The sequence below is a fragment of the Homo sapiens genome, chromosome 8 (assembly GCF_000001405.40).
Source record: "Homo sapiens chromosome 8, GRCh38.p14 Primary Assembly".
Lineage (NCBI taxonomy): Eukaryota > Metazoa > Chordata > Mammalia > Primates > Hominidae > Homo > Homo sapiens.
Window position 1 is genome coordinate 29545826 of NC_000008.11, and position 19979 is coordinate 29565804.

Sequence of the window (19979 nt, forward strand, 5' to 3'; positions counted from 1 at the left end):
GGGACTCTTGGAAAAAGAAACAAGACTTACATGGAATTTCAGGATCTCCATTGTTTATAAGCCATAATTCTGGGAAGAAGGAAATGAACTCTAATTAAGCACCTCTATGGGTCAGATACTTTATATAAAACAAAGAATTTAATCCTCAACAATAACCTGCCACAGAGATGAGATTATCACCATTTTTACAGAAGAGGAAATAGGATCTGAGAGCCTAAGCAACTTGCCCAAGGTGACTCAGTAAGTGGCATGAGCTGGAGTTGAAACCCAGAGCTATATTGCTATAGAGCCCATCCTTTCTATTTCATGGCCCTACTCTCTGTCCCCTGCCCCTAGATAATATTAACAATTGATAGACAGATAAGTAGATAGATAGATAAATAGATACAGATACACACACATATATCTGTATATCAGGATGTGCTATATATTACATTTTATTTATTTCCAAAGGCCTTAGGAAAAAAACAATAGCAGTGTAGAACATGAAGGCAAATGGTTACAAAATACATGGATACGTGTATTTTACTGCTGATATAAATTTATGTCTATTGAGTTATTCCCAAGTTAACAAGGACCGAGAAGTTACTGTGGCCTAAGAATTGTGCTCTGCATGTTGGTAGAGACAAAATAAGCAGCGTCTACTGGCAAAGACTGTATCATGTTGCCGGAGAAGTGAAGCATTAAGTAGAAACTGTGTGTAGTGGCTGTGAGGGCAGCATGGTTCTGCAAAGGGCTTGATTGGCGGGAAGAGGATTAGATTCCCGCATGTGTAGTTGGGAATCTGATCTGTAAAAGCCAGACACTGAGGTTTTGATGTCTTTCTCCAGTTCACACAAAGAGCTAATAGCTGGGCTGGGACTATGTCTTAAGCATCCTGGATAGTTAACATCTTACCAACCTCTGTCTTCCCCAAAAGCTGCAATCTCCATATGCAGGAGCCAACATCAGTTTGCTGCAAGGGAGGAGAATGAGGACTATTGTATCAACTGGAGTCCCATAGAAAACAAATGACACACTCAAAAGGGGTGATCAAGAGTTCCATGGAGGGGCCGTTGACAAAGGTAGAGCCGGTTTAGAGAAAAGCAATAAGGGATGCGGAAGCCTCAGGATCAGCAGCAGCAGGAAGCCACTGGCACCGAGTGCCAAGGGGTAGGGAGCGGTAGCTGAGGTGTGGTGAGCTGTAGGTACAGAAGCACTGCTATTGCTGCATCAGAGGTATCAATATTCCATCCTCACTCTCTCAATGCCCTCTGATCACACGCCTGGTGCCCTGGAAGACAGAGGTCACTGGAGCTGTGTGGTTGCAGTCGTTAGAGGTCAGCTTCCTGGCTGCAGCACAGTGCAGAAAGGAAATGGACAGAGAGTGGTTCTGGCAGGACAGATGGAGACTATCCAGTGCAAAATCCATGCTGGGGAAATTTAAGAGTTTTCTTGGGAGTGCATTAAAGGAGCTATTGCAGGTGCCTTAGAATCTCAGAGTCTTAAAGTCACTCCCTTCCATAATCCAATAGCTTGTTCTTGTTCTCAGGAAAGCTCTATAAACCCAGGGCCTTATTCTTATTGTAGTCATCATTTCCAGCAGAGCACAGATTCAAGAGCCAGCTGTTTAACTCATGACCTTGCTGAAGAGGTGGTAATGGGGCTATTCTTAGTGATCACATTGTTATGGGTTAGCAACTTGATGTTCAAGGTAGTGGGCACCTAGATATCTCTGAATGATGGTGTTTGTTGGTTTGAAAGAGGTCTCCCTCATTAATTCATTATCTTGCTGGAGAGGCAGTTGCATTTTGGCTTCAGCCTTTAAATGATAGTGGCTCTATTTCCGACTTGCTTGGAAACTATTATTAACTATTATTCCCAACAATACACTTGCATATTTGACAATCTAGAAACCAAATTTAGCCATGCAAATTATAGACAACTGCTCTCTTATAATGTCACTGTGATGTCCCAGTTTTTAAGAAATGGAAGATTAACAAAGCCAGCTTCAAATGCTTAAAACAATATTTTATGTAAGAAGCCATTTTCCCCCAGAGATGCATAGACCTGTAAAATGTTTCCAGAGCTCTTTGGAAGATAACCAATATTTCTCTCAAAGGAAGGGGAAGTAGCAGAACATCAAATATACGCAAAAACCCTTCAAAGCTGGAAGTGCCATCAGCTTACTAAGGAATTATGTTAAAAATAAGGGAAACTTAAGAGGTCACTTAAATGATTTAAACACCATATTTTCCCTCTTCTCCAAAAATCCCCCAAGACAATGCTCATAATGTTAGACTGACCTTTTAGCATATGTGATTTTAGTGAAAGACATTTCTCTTCTTCTAAATATATCTCAAACCATTCTTAAAAGTAATGATTTCTCATTAAGGCTCTTGCACCTGCTTGTGAAGAAAAGACATCTGACCTTTAAAAAATATTCCATGGGTCTGAATCATCTAAGTATATTGTAGCTTTATTCTTGCAGACAAGGGAAACCAAGAATGATCTGGATAATGGAGAAACCTGTTAATACAACTGGATTTGAATCACACTACTGGCTGAAATTCACACAACCGGATTGGGATCCCACTGTGTAATTTTAGGCAAGTGACTTTACCTTTCTAAACCTCAGTCTTCTTATCTCTAAAATAAGGATAATACGACTAACCTGAATGCCTATTGTAAGCAATAAATGGATTTATGTGTGAGCACAGTGTTCAATAAATGAGCATTAGGGTCTTTTCTTTTCTCTTTTGAGATGGAGTCTCGCTCTGTCTCCCAAGCTGGAATGCAGTGGTGCAATCTCGGTTCACTGCAGCCTTTGCCTCCTGGGTTCAAGCAATTCTCATGCCTCAGCCTCCTGAGTAGCTAGTACTACAGGCGTGAGTCAACACACCCAGCTAATTTTTGTTATTTTTGGTAGAGACAGAGTTTCACCATGTTGGCCAGGTTGGTCTCCAACTCCTGACCTCAAGCGATCTGCCTGCCTCGCACAGTGCTGGGATTACAGGCGTGAGCCACTGCGCCCAGCCAGAGTGTTTTTGTCTGAAGCTTCTTGCCACACAGAATACAGTGAAAGAATCCAACTATGGTAATTCAAGAGTCTTCTCAGAATTTAGGCTCAGAACTGAGACTGAAGTATTGGCAGAGGACCTAAGAGACAAAGAGAACCTTGTCATATACATGGATTCTGAAAAAATGTCATGGCTTCTGACAAACTAATCTAGCATATGCCAACCTAAGGGCCCTGGGCATCTATTTTCAAACTTATCCCTTGGGGTACCACCACCAGCTTGCCTGGGATTACCTGATCAGGTAGTTTAGAGAAGATAATAATTATAATAATTGAGACAGTCATGATAGTAGTACTTACTCTTCCTGCAAAATGATTAGTATGATAGTTCTGCTGCCCATACTTAGGGAAATGATACTTTCAGACACGGAAAGGATGATGATATGAAATTGGGACCTTGTTCTGATGGAAATGCTTCGAGTTTTAAATAGCTTCAAACTTTAAGAGTTTCAATACAACAGAAGCTCTAAAAATCCAGGGTCTTTGAGTAGTCTTCACATCTCTCTGCCCAATTCCAGAGATGCACTGAATTTGAGCCTTTGAGGAAGAGGGTAATCTGTTCTTTATATTTTTCTGACTTTTAAAATCAATCTTATACAATGGGTAATCATCATTTTACAATTTATACAACTTATAGTAATAAAAACGTTTGTTTAAAAAAAGTCTTGCAAAGTATTTTTGAATGTTTTAAAACATTGTTTACTTTAGTATATTTTGTGTGAACTAGAATCACTGAACCTAAATAGCACATAGAAGGAAGGGAGAGGGGAGTTGGAAGACATTTTTTCCTAAAAGGGCAATGGGTAGTAAATTGCCCAGATTCTGGAACCTTCTGTCTCAGTCCAATTCCTGACTAGACCATTTAAAAGTTGCATGAATCTTGGATGAGTTACTTAACTTTACTCTGCCTCAGTTTCATTGTCTGCAAAATGGAGACCTCATGTAATGTTATGAGAATTAAATGATTTAATATATATTAAATGCTAAGGAAAGCTTGGGCAGATAGTGAACATGACTTAAGTCTTAGCCATCATAATTATTACCCCTCTCAGAATCATTCTTTAGAATAATTCAGCCTTTACTTTATTGTACTTATTTATTTTAAACTACTTTTATATTTATCAAAGTTATACATAACCTGGTTAAAAGTCAAATTGTATTTAAAGAGTAATAATGAATAATAACAGTCTCCATGTTCACAACGAATCTGTGATCTTGCTGTCCAGAGGCAGTTACTTCCAATCCATTCTTTTAGCTGGTTATTCTGGTTTTTAGTTCCTGGGTTCTAAATAATAAGTATAAATGGTTATTTCTTGATTTATCAGTTTTAGACATTATCTATCTACATGTATTATAGCAGTCGAGTTGAGCTTTTGTGCACTTCCTATCCCATTTCTCTGATTCTACCAGTGCAATGAGGTTCCATCAAATTTATGGTTAAATCAGATTTGGCATTTACTTTATTATGGTTATATATGTATTGTTCACTTCTAAACCAAGTGGTGTGCTATAATTACATTTTGCTTTAGAAATTTTTGTTTTTATTGGAGATAATAATTATTTTTTAAAAATTTACTAAAATTTATTTAATTCTCCACCACACTCATGATTGCTGAGGTCTATCCAACACCTTCCATTTTGCCTTCAAATGGTCAAATATTCTTGATAATTGATCAATCCCATTGTGCTTCGAAGACAACTGCCCCTGAGCCATTTATCCTTCTAGTCCAGTCTGTACTTACTGCTACCATAGTCCTACTCCCCAGTTTCCTCCTGGATTTTCCTTGCACCTGTTCTGTGTCCTGCATCCTCATCTTATTTTACTCCCTTATTTTTCTGGAGCACATCCTCTAGAAGCTTATTAAGAAAAGGTACATTAGAGGAAATATTCCAGACTCCTTGTATATTTGAAGATATCTTTATTCTCATACTTGATTGATAATTTAGCTGGTAATGGAATTCCAGGTACATCCATAACTTCCCTCAGAATGTTGAAGTTAGCATTGGTTCAGTGTCTCCTGGCTTCCTGTGTTGCCGTAGAGCATTCTGATATATTTCCAATTTCATTTCTTTTCCATGTGATTGTTTTGTTCTAAGTGCTTTTAGTATCTTCTTTTTTAAATGGCTGTCATACTTCAGTTTGGATCTTTGTTTATTCATTTATTATGCTGAGCACTTTGTGGTTACTTTCAATCCAGAGACTCATATTATTTTGTTCTGAGAAGTTTTCTATTATTTCTCTGACAATGTCCTCTCTTTGTTTTCTTTATTCTTTTCTCAGAACTACTATTAGTTGTTCGTCAGATTTCTTGAATTGATTCTTCACATTTCTCATGTTTATTCTTCAACTTTTCTTCTCTTTGTATTTTCTGGCCTTTGTGGGCTATTTCCTCAAATTTATCTGTCATTCCCTTTACTGAGCACTGGAAATTAATGCTTTATTTTTTGAATGAATAATGTATGCTTTTGGTACAAAATTCAAAATTACTAATGAGAATGTAGATACAAGTTAGCCTTCTTCTGACTCTTGCTCCTTAAATATCCAATTCATCTACTTGGTGGGGATAAATATTCACAGATGGGACAGCACAGAGGGGAACAGAGGTTTAGGGCTAACAAGCGGAAGTATTTTATGGAAGTTCGCACACTGAATGATGCAAGTCCCGGTTTTCTTTCTCCATCTTGTTCCTGGAAAGCAATCAACCAGGCATATATTCTCCTAGATAGGAAATGGTTGGATTACTTGGCTGGAGAATATAACCTTGGCTGTCAATATCATTGGGTCTTTTCTCCTGGGTTGGTAAGATTCCTCAAAGTAGAATATTTTAATATCTTGCTTGGAGGGCATAAGCCTACTGCTAACATTTTGAGAAAAAGAGCAAGCATGGGAGTGAGTGTTGTCTCTATTTAGTATGTCAATTTCTACTTAATTTTTCTGTTTCTATTATTGTACTACCATCTTCAACTATCCTTGGTCACTAAGTTCAGAGACTCTGTTTTACCTCCTTTAGAGAATGTTAAGCCTTTAGTGTTCTGCTGGGGTGGAGGAGGGAAAGTCATCTGGTTAAGTTGAGTAAGGGAAAGGATCTATTGTTTTAATTGCCTTTCTATGCTTGAAATTGCATAATTTCTCTTGATTTGTTTTCTTGTTTACTGACACTTTCCTTTGTTATCTCCTTCCTACTCTTCTACCTAGTAAATATTTTATTTCAGATATTATACTGCTCAGTTCTAGAATTTTTCTTATGTTTCTATATCTTTTCTAAGATTCCCTATCTTTTCATTCATTATAAGAATATTATCTTTTGCATCATTGTGCACAGTTATAATAGCTCCCATAAAATCCTTGTTTGCTACTTCAAACATCTGGGTCATCTCAAGGTCAATTTCTGTTAATTATCTTTTCACCTGAGAATGAGTTGCATTTTCCTGTTACTTCATATATGGAATAATTTTGGATTGTATTCTGGGTGTTGTGAATGTTATGTTGTGGACAATCTGGGAGAGAGTTGTTGTTGAATTTATTTATTTTAATAGGCAATTGCTTTGGTTTGATTCAAGCTAAAAACTCTGATTTTTGGTGATAGTTCAGATCTCCTTGTAGTTCCTGCATATTTAGCTGATATGTGTGCAGTTTGCCCTGTGCATGTGTAGCTAGGGAGTAGCTCAGAATTTACACACTTAATTTGTGGCTCCCCTTCTTTGGCCCCTCCTTTCCAATATTACCCCTTTATTTCCCCTGTGGTTGTGGCTATAGTGGCCCTGAACTCTTTTCTCTGGTTCTTCAGACCAGAAAGACTGCAGATTTTCTATTGGAGTTTTAGCAATGCCACCTGGCCACCTTTCCTAGGTCCAAGAAATAGGAAGAAAAGGGAAAATTACTCTGCTACCTTGTGCCATTCCCTTATTCCAAATGGCAACTCCCCTCCAGAATCTACCTGCTTTTGTTCACTCTGCAGTGTTTTCGGATTTTTTTTAAAAAGTTGTTCAAAGTTTATTATTATTATTTGAGGCAGAGAGGTCCAGTGGGAGTTTATTCTATTAGAGGTGAACTCCTAACAGCTTGTCAACAACCTTTTAAATAACTCTATTTACCATTAACTCTGCTTCCAAAGTAACCTGGTACCACTAATTTCTGAGCTTTTTCAAGGTTCTGTGGTATAAATGACAATAGTCATGGTTAGTATATTCACCTCTAAAAATTATTTCAGTAAGCATAAATAACATGTAAGCAAAGTGGGAGGTAATGAAAGATTGTGTCATACAACATTCTAAATCAGACAGAATTCCTGCTGCTCTTCCATTTGGTCTCAAAATGGCATTGGCTAGGTTTTTTTCAGCCTCATGTTGGCCAAAATAAGAGCCTTTCTTTAAACCAGTGTTCTAAAACATTCATCATCTCAACTGTTTTGGATTATCAGTTGGCTGCAAACCAGGGGGTCACCCATGGCAGCATGGTACAGACCATGTCTGTAGGTTTTCTTTTCTTTTGATTCCAATGAGAACATCAGAGAAACAAAGAGCACTTCTTTGCAAGATGGACTCTTCTAGAGAAGATGGTCGGCCAATGGACTGTGGAGACAAAGGTCAGAATTGTGGTCCCTTGGGGCATCTCATCTTGTTAGGATCATCATGGTCTCCTCAGGCTGAAGTTCATGAGCCATGAGTCCCCAGCACCTGATTCCCTCAGCACCTGATTGTTCATGAGGTTAGAGCAGTTAATACTGAGACTGTTGCAATTCTGTGAGTAAATAAGGTTTTTATTTCTGTGTTGGAATTTCTTGTTTTGTGCACCTGGTTTGGATATTTGGTTTATTTGCATAAGAATGCACACGTGTAGCTTGGGATTCAACTCAGAGAGGGACTTTTAGAAAAGTCTAAAGTCAGAGGGGACTATTGTCTATGTGAGTACACTTTTTAAAGCATCCCTTTCATTAGCTATCAAGGCACAAGCTCTGTTTCCTAAGGAAAGTCACCCCAAACAGCTATTATATAAACTACAAAAGAAGTAGATGTGGACATAATTAAGCACATTTTTATTTCCAATTGAAATACAGTTGGAAACTCTTTAGGGCTCAAGTCAAAACTTTTGGCTTTGTTCCCTGGTCCAGAATTCAAAACAATTTCTCTCTCTGGAATTGTAATCGTTTTTTCTGAAGATTATTGAATTCAAATAGCTTGATATGGAACTAATCTAGTCTAGTTGAATTTTTGGAATTCTTTAAATTCTCAAAAAGGTTGAATTTATCTGGTGCTCAGTAGATGTGAACGAGCAACATCCTAAGGTGTTCTCTGAGCTCAGAACACCCAAATTGTTTTCTTCCTGTAGAATTGTTGTTAAGCCCTGAGGTGCAAAATTTTCCCTCCCTCCCTCCCTCCCCTTCTTTTTCTTTCTTTCTTTCTTTTCTTTCTTTCTCTCTCTTTCTTTCTTTCTTTCTTTCTTTCTTTCTTTCTTTCTTTCTTTTCTTTTCTTTGCTTTTTCTTTTCTTCCTTTTTTTTTTCTTAAATTATCTCATAGTTTTTCGTACTTTCAGATGGGTAAATTGAAACATTGGAAGGGTAAGCATTGGACTTGTGTCTTGGTCACAAACGCAGGTTTTGGGGGACAAAGGCAGAAGTAAAAGACAGATCTCCTTCTCCAATTCAAGGCTGTGTGAATTCTACTACTGAGCCCTCTATGAAACATTAACTCAGTGGTTCATCCCCTGGGGGACCTGGGACCGTAGGAGGTCTTTAAAGGAAGCAAGAGAGATTTTTAAATAATTTTCATTTTTTCAAGAAGTTCAACAGACTTTGCACATTTCCCAAAATAAAAGTGCATGAATTAACCAGAATGTCATGGTATTTTTGCTTTTGATTAGAGTTAAATTAATTCAGTTTGATAACATTGAATATCATCCTGATCTGAAGCTTTGATTACAGTTATATATGCCTTAAATGATTAAAATGTGAAAATAGGTTAATTATGTCTTAATAAATTCAGTTTATTTGATACATAGAAATTTATAAAACCTGAAACTAATCAGAACAAAATATGACACATTTTCACAACTCCCTATGAGTATCTTAAACAAGTAGAATGCTAAGGCATATGAAACTCTAAAATGTATCTATTTCAAGATTTTTCTGGAAGATTTTATATATTTTTTTCTGTCTAGCTGCCTTAACATGAACAGTATAAAGCCAAATTATTCTCTCTTATACATTTAACATTAATTATGACAACAGTTCATTGACCAATGTCCACCAATGATGGACATCAGCTGTTTAGGATTAATTATGGGTGTATTGACTTTTCTAATCCCCACTTAAGGGGTTGAATATCTGTAGATGCTGATCAGACATTTAAAAGAGGGTAACAACACCAGTATTATATTGAGAAACAATGAGAAAAGCTAAGTTTAATTCATCATTCTGCTAAAAGTCAATCAATAACATTTTTCATGTGTTAACAACAGTTAATAAAGACAGTTAAGCCAGTTTGGAAAGTATAAATGGAAGAATAACTTCCTGATTTCATATGACTCATTAGGCTCATCAAAAGACTTTTCTTCGAGGAAGCACTCAACTTGCTTCTTTGAGCTAATGTTACAGGTTGTGGTTTTCATAATCATGCCGTGATCGCTGTGGCTTTGGGCGTCACTTTTCTGACGCACCTGGCTCCATCTGTTTTAGATACACAGTCCAGAGTTCACATTGCTGAAGGGCAATGACTGAGATCATTGTTTCCTCAAGGTGTGCCCTTTAAAGGCTAAATCGATGGCGAGATGGGATAGGCTCTAGGGCTGAAGAACACATGATGTGTTAAGTTTAGGTCACATTCTTTCCTAGATATCTGGACACCAGATATGATTATGGAGTATTTCTTTGTCCTAAGGCAAGGTCGTGCATGACCTCCACTGCTGTCTGCATGCAGGTGCCCATGAACTTGGAGGCAACACCAGAATGTTCTAAGTATTATCACTCACAGGAATTCATATTTGTATGATTGCTGAATGTCTGTTGGAGCATATTACATAAAATACTGCCGGTGACGGAAGCTGCTTAATCTACTCAGAGTCCTCATGTGCAAAGGAAGGGTAAGGCAGATGGTCCCTAAGGACTCCCCTACCCCCAGGCTCTGGCCAGCTTTCTGTAACTCTAAGCTTCCTTGAATAGAAAGCCTCAGAATAGAGATAGCCTGGTACGACACTCTTGACCAAGTTAATACCAGACAGGTGGCAATTTACATGTGTGAGAGGCTCTCATTTGAAAGTGGGAAAGCTAGGTGAACACAAAACCTATGCCTCCAAGTATAGATTTTAACCTTAAAAACAGAAGTTTCACACACGGAAGACTATTCTTTTCCTTTCATTGTTTTGTGCCAGTGTAGAAAATGACCAATAATGACACTTGTAAATATCTTCACTGGAATCTTGTATCCCTGGGACTTAAAGGGTTAACAGTTAGAAGACTTTAATTGTATAATTTTCTGGGTTCCCAGACATGCCTTTAAAGGTCTTCACTTCCTCTTTGTCTTTCATTCTAAGCTCTCTCTCCTGCACAAGACCTGCAGGGCCTGGCATCTGTGAGCACTCCAATAAGTATTTATTACTAAATTCAGTTGTCATTCATTTAGAATGTACTCGGTGCCAGCCCCTGTTTTTCTAAGCCTGTCTTATTTAACCTTTACCATTACCTCATGATTTACTCTTATCCTTATTTTACAGATGAAGAAATGCAGATTTTTGGGAGGCTGAGTAATTGGCCTGCAGTTATATAAATGTGGAAAAGCAGGCTTCAGACTAAAGCACGTTTGACTCGAGAGCTTGTGTTGTTAATCACTTTGCCATCTTGCCCCCCTTCCTTTTGTTGTATAGATGAATAATATGTGCTCTTTCACTTAATGAAAAGTGTGGTTTTGGCAGATCTCCTCTGCTTGAACACATCTTCTGTGGTGGAGAGGAAGGGGCTTGGAGGTAGGAATTCTCTCACCAGCTTCACCAGGAAAATAGAAATATAGAACCTAGTACCTAGTATACGACCTAGAAAGAGCAGATTTCACTCACCAGGAGCAAAGTGTCATGTAGGGACATGTAGAAGTTTAAAAATACATACACATAAAGCAAATATCCACATTTTATAGGGGTACAACCAAGCAAAATGATATATATTAAATCCACTGGATGGTTGCTCTTGGGGGTGGAAATAGGAGTGAAGAATAGAGTTAGAAGACAGTAAATAAATACATAAACAGGAAAGGGGCCTTCTAAGGGTCTAATGATGATAATGTGGTGTGAGCTGAGAAATACAATTAACACAACCTTTTACACTTGAGCACGTCTCCTCCCTCTTATAAGATTCAAAGCAAGGGAAAAGTAGATCAAGTCAAGACAATGTGTGGAAGGGCTAGGAAGACATGAATGAGTGCCTCCTTTTTCACATTCAGGAATCATTTACTTAGTCCTAAGATGGAGGGGCTTTCATATAAACACCAGCTACACACAGGCATAAGGTTAGCTCCACTGGGCATTGAATTTTTGCCAGAGAATAAAAAGCTTGAGGTCTTATCACCCATACACTACATGAGAAACAGTCTCAGAATGTGCAAGCTAAAAAAGATGGTCACAGTTATTTTCCAGATAAGAAAGCCAAAGTTCAGAGTGCTTGAAGAACCAGTCCAAGATGGCACAGCTAGCTTGGGACAGATCCCATATGGCAAGCCAGTTCCCTCCCCCATTGACCACACTGCGTCTCCAGGGTCATCTGCCTCATCTGGTCTCTGAACAGCCCCCACACAGTGATAACTCTGTTTCTCCTGTTGAACTAGAGGTGGATTTGCTTTGCCAATTTTTCTCTTTTTCATTACCTTGACTCTGGAGAGCCTCGACTAAGGAGGATACTCAGTAAATGTTGATGACAGTGATAGCCAATATTAAGAATGATGTTTTGGCCAGGTGCAGTGGCTCACGACTGTAATCCCACCACTTTGGGAAGCTGAGACAGGAGGATCGCTTTAGCCAAGGAGTTTGAGACCAGCCTGGGCAACTTACTGAAACCCCATCTCCACAAATAAATTTTAAAAATAGCTGGGTGTGATGGCACGTGCCTGTAGCCCCAGCTACTTCAGAGGCTGAGGCAGGAGGATCATTTGAGCCCAGGAGTTCGAGGTTGCTGTGAGCTATGATAGCACTACTGCACTCCAGCCTGGGTGATAGACTGAGACCCATCCTGTCTCTAGAAAAAGGAAAAAAAAAAGAAGAAGAAGAAGAAGAATGGTGTTCTTTAAATCTTCAAACTCTTCAGTGAGGAACTTAGATTTGTACTGTGCATTCTGGGTGGTTGTGGCTTTTCATTTTATTCTAGTTTCACCTCTGTTGTTTAACTAATTGCATGAATGAGAATCTGTCACCCTTACCTTGGCTTTAGTAGCCTCATTTGGCCAAAGCGGGGCGTGGTATTATTTTCTCCAAAGAGTCCGTATAGTCAAAGTTTCTATGATCAAGGCTCTTCTGGGACCCCAGAACTAGCATTCCTCGTAAAAGCAGGCATGGGGGAATTCATGGTCACCACGTGGACTCCACTGAACACTTCTGCATTGCGTCTTCTCAGCCCTGCAAGATTCCTGTGTCATCGCACCCAGAATGGAGTCTCTCTAACTCACCAGGAACAAAGTGTCATGTAGGGGCAGACAGCCCTTGCCTTCCAGGCACTACAATCAGAGAAAAAAATAGCAACAAAATAGTTGCTAGTACAGTAAGTGCCACACCAGGACAGAGGATGAAAGTGCTAGGGTTGCTTCCACTATGTCAGATCTGGCTGTGAATAGATGGAGAAAGCTTCTCAGAGGAAGTAGGGTCAGAAGAAGTGGGATTTATGTTGGATTTTGAAGGGGGGTTGGACTTTGATAAGAAAAGTGATAAAGTGCAGCAATCTAGATGGAAGTCACAAATGGACCAAAGACAGAGTCAAGTGGTCCCCAAGTACAAGCCAAGTCAAGGCTTGCTGGGACATCTACGAGGAGCTGTGACCTAGAGCAGAAGATGATGGTGTTTCAATCTCAGCTTTCGGATGAGTGTAAACTATGGAGGCTACCCACTGAAGCCATGATGTAAAGCAAATTTTGGTCAGCAGGCATTTGAGCATTCATCTTAGATCGAAAGTATGAGAATGTGAATTCACAAAGGTGGTGGGAGTGGGTCCACAAGCACATTATGGTGGTGGCAGGAGAATCTAAATAAGCTGAGCACCTCCTGGGGGTGTTCTGTAGCTATCTGACCATTTGAATGTGGATGCAAACTCACCAGGAATTAAGACAAAGACAGAAATAGGACACTCAGCCTCCTGAGAGATAACACAAAACTGTGTGTGAACAGCAGATGAGTACTGGGGTATTATGAGGCAAGTGGAGATCTTTGCAAGTCAGAGTAATCTAAAAAGGCAGCTCAAATCCAACTTTTCTAAACAAGAAATAGTCACTCTAAAATAAGTTAAATAAAGCTGACAAAAGCTTCTTCTGCCCACACTGAGAGTGTATGTGTAATGTCTGAATAACTATGTTTTACATCTGAATAAGTGTAGGTTGGCTATTAGAGACAATCAATGCACAAATTAATTATAAATATATATTGTTTAGGTGCAACTCACATAAATACGTATTGTTTCAGGTACAATTACATCAGTGTGTCCCTCTGGAACTTGGAATAATTCCTTCTCCTATAATTATTTATATATCTTACGGATGAAAAGGTAGATAGAGTAGATAGGTAGGAATCTAGGTGGGTAGGTAGAACAATATATTAATAGAGAGATAGACAAAATTGATGTGGGCTGAAAGGCCAGACTAGGAGCAAATTGTGAGGCTGTATACCTAGCTGAGGAATTGACACTTTCTCTTTGGCCAACAGAAAACAATTAGTATGGCGATAGGATGAGTATTTTATGATTGAGCTCCTATCTGCTTTGGGGGAACTAAGGGTGAATTATTAATCATAAAATAGGAAGGTCGTAGTTGCTGAAAGTCCTCTGTGAAACCAAAAGGACCTGTTCTCATAGCAGCAGTCGGCTTTGCTCCAGGGAGTGGGAATCATGAGCCCAGGACAAGGCAGAAGGGACAGTAGTAGAGGCTTTGCTGCAGCTTCCTGTAAGGGCTGTCACTCACATCAACATAGTAATGCTGGGATGGAATAAAGCTTGGGCTTCCTTCCTTGGCCTCAAGGGGCCTCCGGCTGGCAGATTCCTCTGCCTGTAGTACAAGAAGAGAAGTCAGATTTTTGGCAAGAATGAAAATCATGTCCAGATTGCTCTTTCAGCAGGACACCTGATAGTAACAAGCATGTACGTGACATTCTTCAGTTGACGCTAGATGGAAGCAGAATGGCTGAACTCAAGAGAATTCACAAATCATTGCCTATCTGTTTGTTGGGCTGGTCTTCTATTTAGCAGGTAGCTACTTTTGTTTGTTTGTTTTTTGTTTTTGTTTTGTTTTGTTTTGAGACAGGCTCTCACTCTATCACCTGGGCTGGAGTGCAGTGGTGCAGTCACGGCTCACCACAGCCTCGGCTCATCAGCCTCGTCATATGGGGCTCAGGTGATCCTCCCCACTTCGGTCTACCAATTATTTGGGACTATAGGCATACACCACCACTCACAGCTAATTTTTTTTTGTATTTTTGTAGAGATGAGGTTTTGCCATGTTGCCCAGGCTGGTCTCAAACTCCTAGGCTCAAGCGATCCACCCACCTTGGCCTTCCATAGTGCTGGGATTATAAGCGTGAGCCACTGCGCCCAGTCCTGGTAGCGACTTTTTATTTCTGCGAAAGAGAAATAGTAGGACACAAATAGACACACACTTGGAACTACTTGAATTTTCTAAACATACCACTGTAGAGACTATTATAGTAATAATGATGGGACTCTCTTATATTTGGGGTGCATTAGGCAGTTTACAGCATGGTTTCAAGCAAATTATGTCTTTAGAATCTCACAATATTTCTTTGAGGTCGTCAGAGCTGGCATTGTTACTCCCTTCCTCCACTCCATTTATAGATAGAAAAACTGAAGATCCAAGGGCTTATGTGAGTTGCCTGGGAACTCATGGCCAGTAAGTTGCAGAGCTGTGATTCAAATTGAAATATTGGGATCGGTCTTATTTGAACCCTGGTCTGGTGCTCTTTACTTTCTGCCATACAAGAAAACAGCCTCGATTTTGAGTCTCCATAGTTTAGCTCATTCTGCTCCCAAGGTGTTGGGATGCTGCTGACCTCCCAGAAAACTGTGGTCAAAGGCCAAGACATGACCCAACTCCCCTGGACAGGAGTTTTGGTCAAAGAGCACATCACCCCACTCACACATTCTTATTTGCACAGAGAGGATTGTGTTACAGGGTCATCTTTGTTCCAATCTATGCTTCCGGGTTTATTTGTATACAGAGAAAACTGTTTGGAATTTGCAAAGCCCGGTTGAATATTTCCTTGTTTCATCAGTGGCATTGTTTTAACCCATTGGTGTACCAGTTTTTAAAACTTGCATATAGGAGTGGAACTGCCAGTGAGTTTGAAAAACTTTGAGGGTATAAATAGGCCAGAATGTTTCTAATAAGGGAAGATGCCCTGATGATGTCACCATATCAGGGGACATCTCGTGTTTTGTGGGGACCAAACAAAGCTGTTTTGAGGAAAGAGAGAGACACTGAGAGAGATTCACTTGAAGGTAGGGACCCTTAGTTATTTATCTTTGCCTCTTGCTTCCATCCCTAGCCCAGCACTTGGAATGATGCTGTCCCACAGAGGACACTCAGTAAATGCAGTGTCTGCGTCAATGACTAAAGAACCCAGAAACCCGCTTGCCTGTCCCCTATATTGGTGAGTTCCATTCCTATGGGTGGTTTAGTGTGTTAAAGAACTTTGACTAATTCCTCTAGTTTGAAGTTAGAAATGCCAATTCAAAGAAAGCCATGGAATGGGTATCCTCTTCTGGGAACCAACTCCAGGGCAGGTATAAAAATGGTTGTATTTAGAAACAGAGGTATAAATAGCTTTATTTTCTTCTAAAGATCTTCTTCTCTTAGGAAAAGAGGTTGTCCAATATTTTCTATCCAATGCCCCCTCTTTTAAGATTTTGGCACTTTGTACCTTGCTTGGCCTGAGAAGATGTAATGATTACATCTTGCGGATATAATGATGTCCAAAGGAGCTCTGTGGTGTGGACCAAGGAGACTGACATACAAAAAGCTGGAAGCCAAGTGTCTTCATTCCTCCAGTCCACGCTTAGCCCCCTATTCCCCTGGATCCTGACTCTTTGGTTGAGAAGAACTTCTCTGGAGTACTATTTCCCAAAGTATAATTCATGGTGTTAAGAAAGGCTATGATTTAATCAGTCAAAGCTGTGGTTTTCTCATCTGTAAAGCACCAATGATAGGAATTAATAACGTTGTTTTCAGGATTAAATGAAATAACACATGGAGAAAGAGCTTGCCCGGGGCTGGGCTCCTAGGAACTGCCGGGTTCTTTTGTCATCTCTTCCTTTTTCTTCTCAATGACAAAGCAAATATGACACATCCTTGAGTTCCTGTGCCATCTTCTCATCCTCTTTTCTGTTTGTCTCCTTCGCTTTGAAATCCTGTTCAAGTCTCATCTCCTGTGAGTCTTTTCTAAATGTTGTGGGTCCTTGGGTGCTTTGGGGTTTCTTAGGGCAGCGGGGTCCTGGCTGAGTTTAATCTGAGAAAGGGTAAGAGGCACGTGGGGCCCCCAAGTGTCCTTAGGTGAGTTGCTTTGCATGGGAGGAGGACCCAGAAGGGGACCCTTGAGTAGGAAGCCTGAGGTGCTAAGACACCTGGGGACAGAGGAAAGAGGTGGTGGCAATGGAGTGCTGTCCAGCTCAACCCCTTCCTAAAGGGGCAGTGTCCTCCCCATTTCCGGATTTCTGCAGAGCACCAGCCTGGCTCTAGTTCAGTGAGGGCTGGGGAAACACAGCCTTCAGGCACAAATTTAGGGACTCAGGAATACAGGCCCTTGACAGGAGTGGAGGCCCTAGACAGCAGCCTCTCCACAGTGGAGATCTGGCAGACACCCAGCAGAGCTCCATGGGAGAAAAACAAGCCCAAAATTATTCACAAACATGAAAGACATGCCAGAGGGCACTGAGAAATACTTGGTGGGGAGGATTTTACACAGACAAGAGGGATGATGAGTTTCTGACCTCATTCATACTCACCAGCTGATTATGCTTCTGAATAATGCAAAGTGCCCCATTGCAGAAAATGAATTTCCAGGTAGCGGGATAGAGTCTGCACAGGTATGTGGGTGCTTCCTGTTCAATGCAGATTTCCCAGTATAGCACTGGGTGTCTGGAACTCCACTGCCTGTTGGATTTTGAACTATTATTGTTTGAGACTCAAGGGAAAAAGGGAGAAGAAAACAATTTACTGTGTGTTAGGATTTTGTCTATACCAACAGATACCCTATTCTGCAGTTCTATCCCTTAACTCCATTCCCCACATTCAAGGATATTTCTTCTCACCTTCCTGTACTATGTAATGATCATGTGGGATTTCTGTATAAACAGGCTAATCTAAGGCCAGGCACGGTGGCTCATGCCTGTAATCCCAGCACTTTGGGAGGCTGAGGCTGGCAGATCATGAGGTCAGGAGATCGAGACCATCCTGGCTAACACGGTGAAACCCCGTCTCTACTAAAAATACAAAAAATTAGCCGGGCATGGTGGTGGGCGCCTGTAGTCCCAGCTACTTGGGAGGCTGAGGCAGGAGAATGGCGTGAACCCAGGAGGCGGAGGTTGCAGTGAGCCGAGATGGGGCCACTGCACTCCAGCCTGGGTGACAGAGTGAGACTCCATCTCAAAATTAAAAAAAAAAAAAAAAAAAGAAAGAGGTTAATCTAGAATTGTGCTGAGAAACACCCAATGACTCAATGGTCCCAATGTATCTAAGACAGAGTTTTAACTTGGTTCTGTCTAAGTAAACAGAACTAAAATTAAGGCGATCACTGTGACCATGGATTACTCATTTTAACCATCTTTAGCATATTTGCTCTTGGGTTATGAAAGCCATTACTGTCAAGAGAAGAGATAATGGGGCTGAACTTCACAGAAATTCAGAAGGATGCCTTGAATGTCTTCTGATTCTCATCCTTTTTTTGTAGGATGCTCAAGCATCATGGCATCATTTCCAGTGGAGTCGCTGAACTTGTAGGTTGTCTACCTGACACCTCGAGGTCCTTACACCAAGAAGTCAGCTGTGAAGCCCGCTGAGTCCTCGGGTGGATGTCTGCCACCACATACATAGCCTTTGCTGGTGGCTTGGAGAGCTGGCAGGTCAGCCACAGAAAGTGGGCAAGACCTAGTCAGTAGCGACAGGATATGTTCCCAGGATGGACAGCTGCCTGATATGCGTTCAGTTCCAGTGCCAAAGCCAAGGGCTGCCAGTGCCCTTCCTTCATGCTAAGGACTTCTCTCTCTCCAGGTAATTGCATAGGGTTTCCTGGAGCCCACAGCTGGCCTCACTCACTCATCTCCAAACCTTTTAAATGCATGTGTTAGGGAGAATGCTAGGGCCCTGGGGACAGTGCTCATTGCCTTCAGTATTGTCACCTTCTGTCACCCAGGTGCACAGCCTGGATTTCATTCAATGCCCCATGTTCCTGGCACATGGAGAACTTCAGCGTGATCTGGTGGGCCAAGCCAGCTTTCTGCTTGTTTCAGGGCTGTGTTGGCAAGATGTTTCGGCTTCCCAGGAGGCTGCCAATGCCACCAGCAGAGGCTTGAGATGCCCTTTGGTTCCTTACTACTTGGCCCTGGAAACAATTGTCCTCTGACAGCCTTATCATGCGCAGTGTGTTTTTCTCTCTCTGTAGCTCTTGCCAGAGAAATAATAGCGACCTGTTCTTCCCCAGAGGTTTTCTCCTCCAGGAGTGCCCCATGTGAAGGTCACAGAGGGAAATTGATAAAGGAAATCAATAAATATCCGTTGAATAAATCGGATAAATGGGACAGTTTTTGGACCACTTGCTCACTCTGGAAGATTCTCGATGTGGTGGTACATCTGTCTTAAATAGAAACTATGCTGAAAGTAAACGACAAAGCCTAGAACCCTTTCTTTCTTTGTTACCCCAGGACAGCGGATGCCTGTTTGGAAGGCTGGATTGGACTGAGCCACATGGCAGAGCCTTGGAGATGGCAGGGGAGGGAAGTCGAAGACATGGGCAAGTCTCAGTTCTCAACAGTGGCTGTGTGCCAGGCACTGAACGAGGCATTTTGCATGCAACATTTCACTTTATCTGCACAACAGCCCCCTGCTGAGGAACTATGGCCCCACTTTAATGATGAGGAAATTGAGGCTCAGAGAGGGGAAGTCACCTGCTTGAGGCCACACAGCTAGTAAATGGTAGAACGAAAGTTAAAGGTTACCTTGAAGCCTCTGCTGTTCCCATCGTCCCACAGCCAGCCAACTCCTGAGCTCAGGAGGACGTTGGAATAAGCCAGGCCCTCTGAGATCCCTGACTCTGAAGTCTTTAGGGAAAGATTCAGGTCATGATCATCAAAACGCCTTACTTTTGTGGAGCATGGGAACGTTTACAGGATGAATTTACATCTAGCATTTCATTTGCCTCTCACAGTAGCTTAGTGAATTATTAGCTCCATATCACCAATGAGAAACTGAGGCATGAAGAGACGGAGAGAGTTTCAGGGCACTGTCTCCTAATCTGGAGCTCTTTTCACTGGGTTTCAGAGAGAACAGAGCACTTTTATTAAGCATTTCAAAACAAGTTTAATATAGTATTCTGTTAAATACTAAGTCCTAGGCTGAAAGCTCCTAAATTGGAAACTGTATATGATTTATCTGTTTGTGCCCCACACCTATCAGTGTGGGGCTTATTGCAGATAATCAATTTCCATGGAAAGAATCATGCCTATAGGTAATTGCGAT

At 40.9% G+C, this 19979-nt stretch overlaps 1 long non-coding RNA gene across 1 annotated transcript, besides 1 other annotated feature; it reads left to right on the forward strand.

Annotated features, from left to right (window-relative positions):
- Positions 9334-10533: an enhancer, noted in NCBI's record as "MED14-independent group 3 enhancer chr8:29412676-29413875 (GRCh37/hg19 assembly coordinates)". NCBI's record gives its function as "activates an origin of replication core promoter dependent on BRD2, BRD4, P300/CBP and CDK7 cofactors, and independent of MED14, by STARR-seq in HCT116 cells {active_cell/tissue: HCT116}" and the evidence as "EXISTENCE:reporter gene assay evidence [ECO:0000049][PMID:35650434]".
- LINC02948 (long intergenic non-protein coding RNA 2948) lies at positions 16448-19444 on the forward strand. Its single transcript, XR_001745861.2, has 3 exons — positions 16448-16677; positions 18196-18515; positions 19166-19444. It is a non-coding gene; the product is annotated as a long intergenic non-protein coding RNA 2948 (long non-coding RNA).
- The last annotated feature ends 535 nt before the right edge of the window (positions 19445-19979 follow it).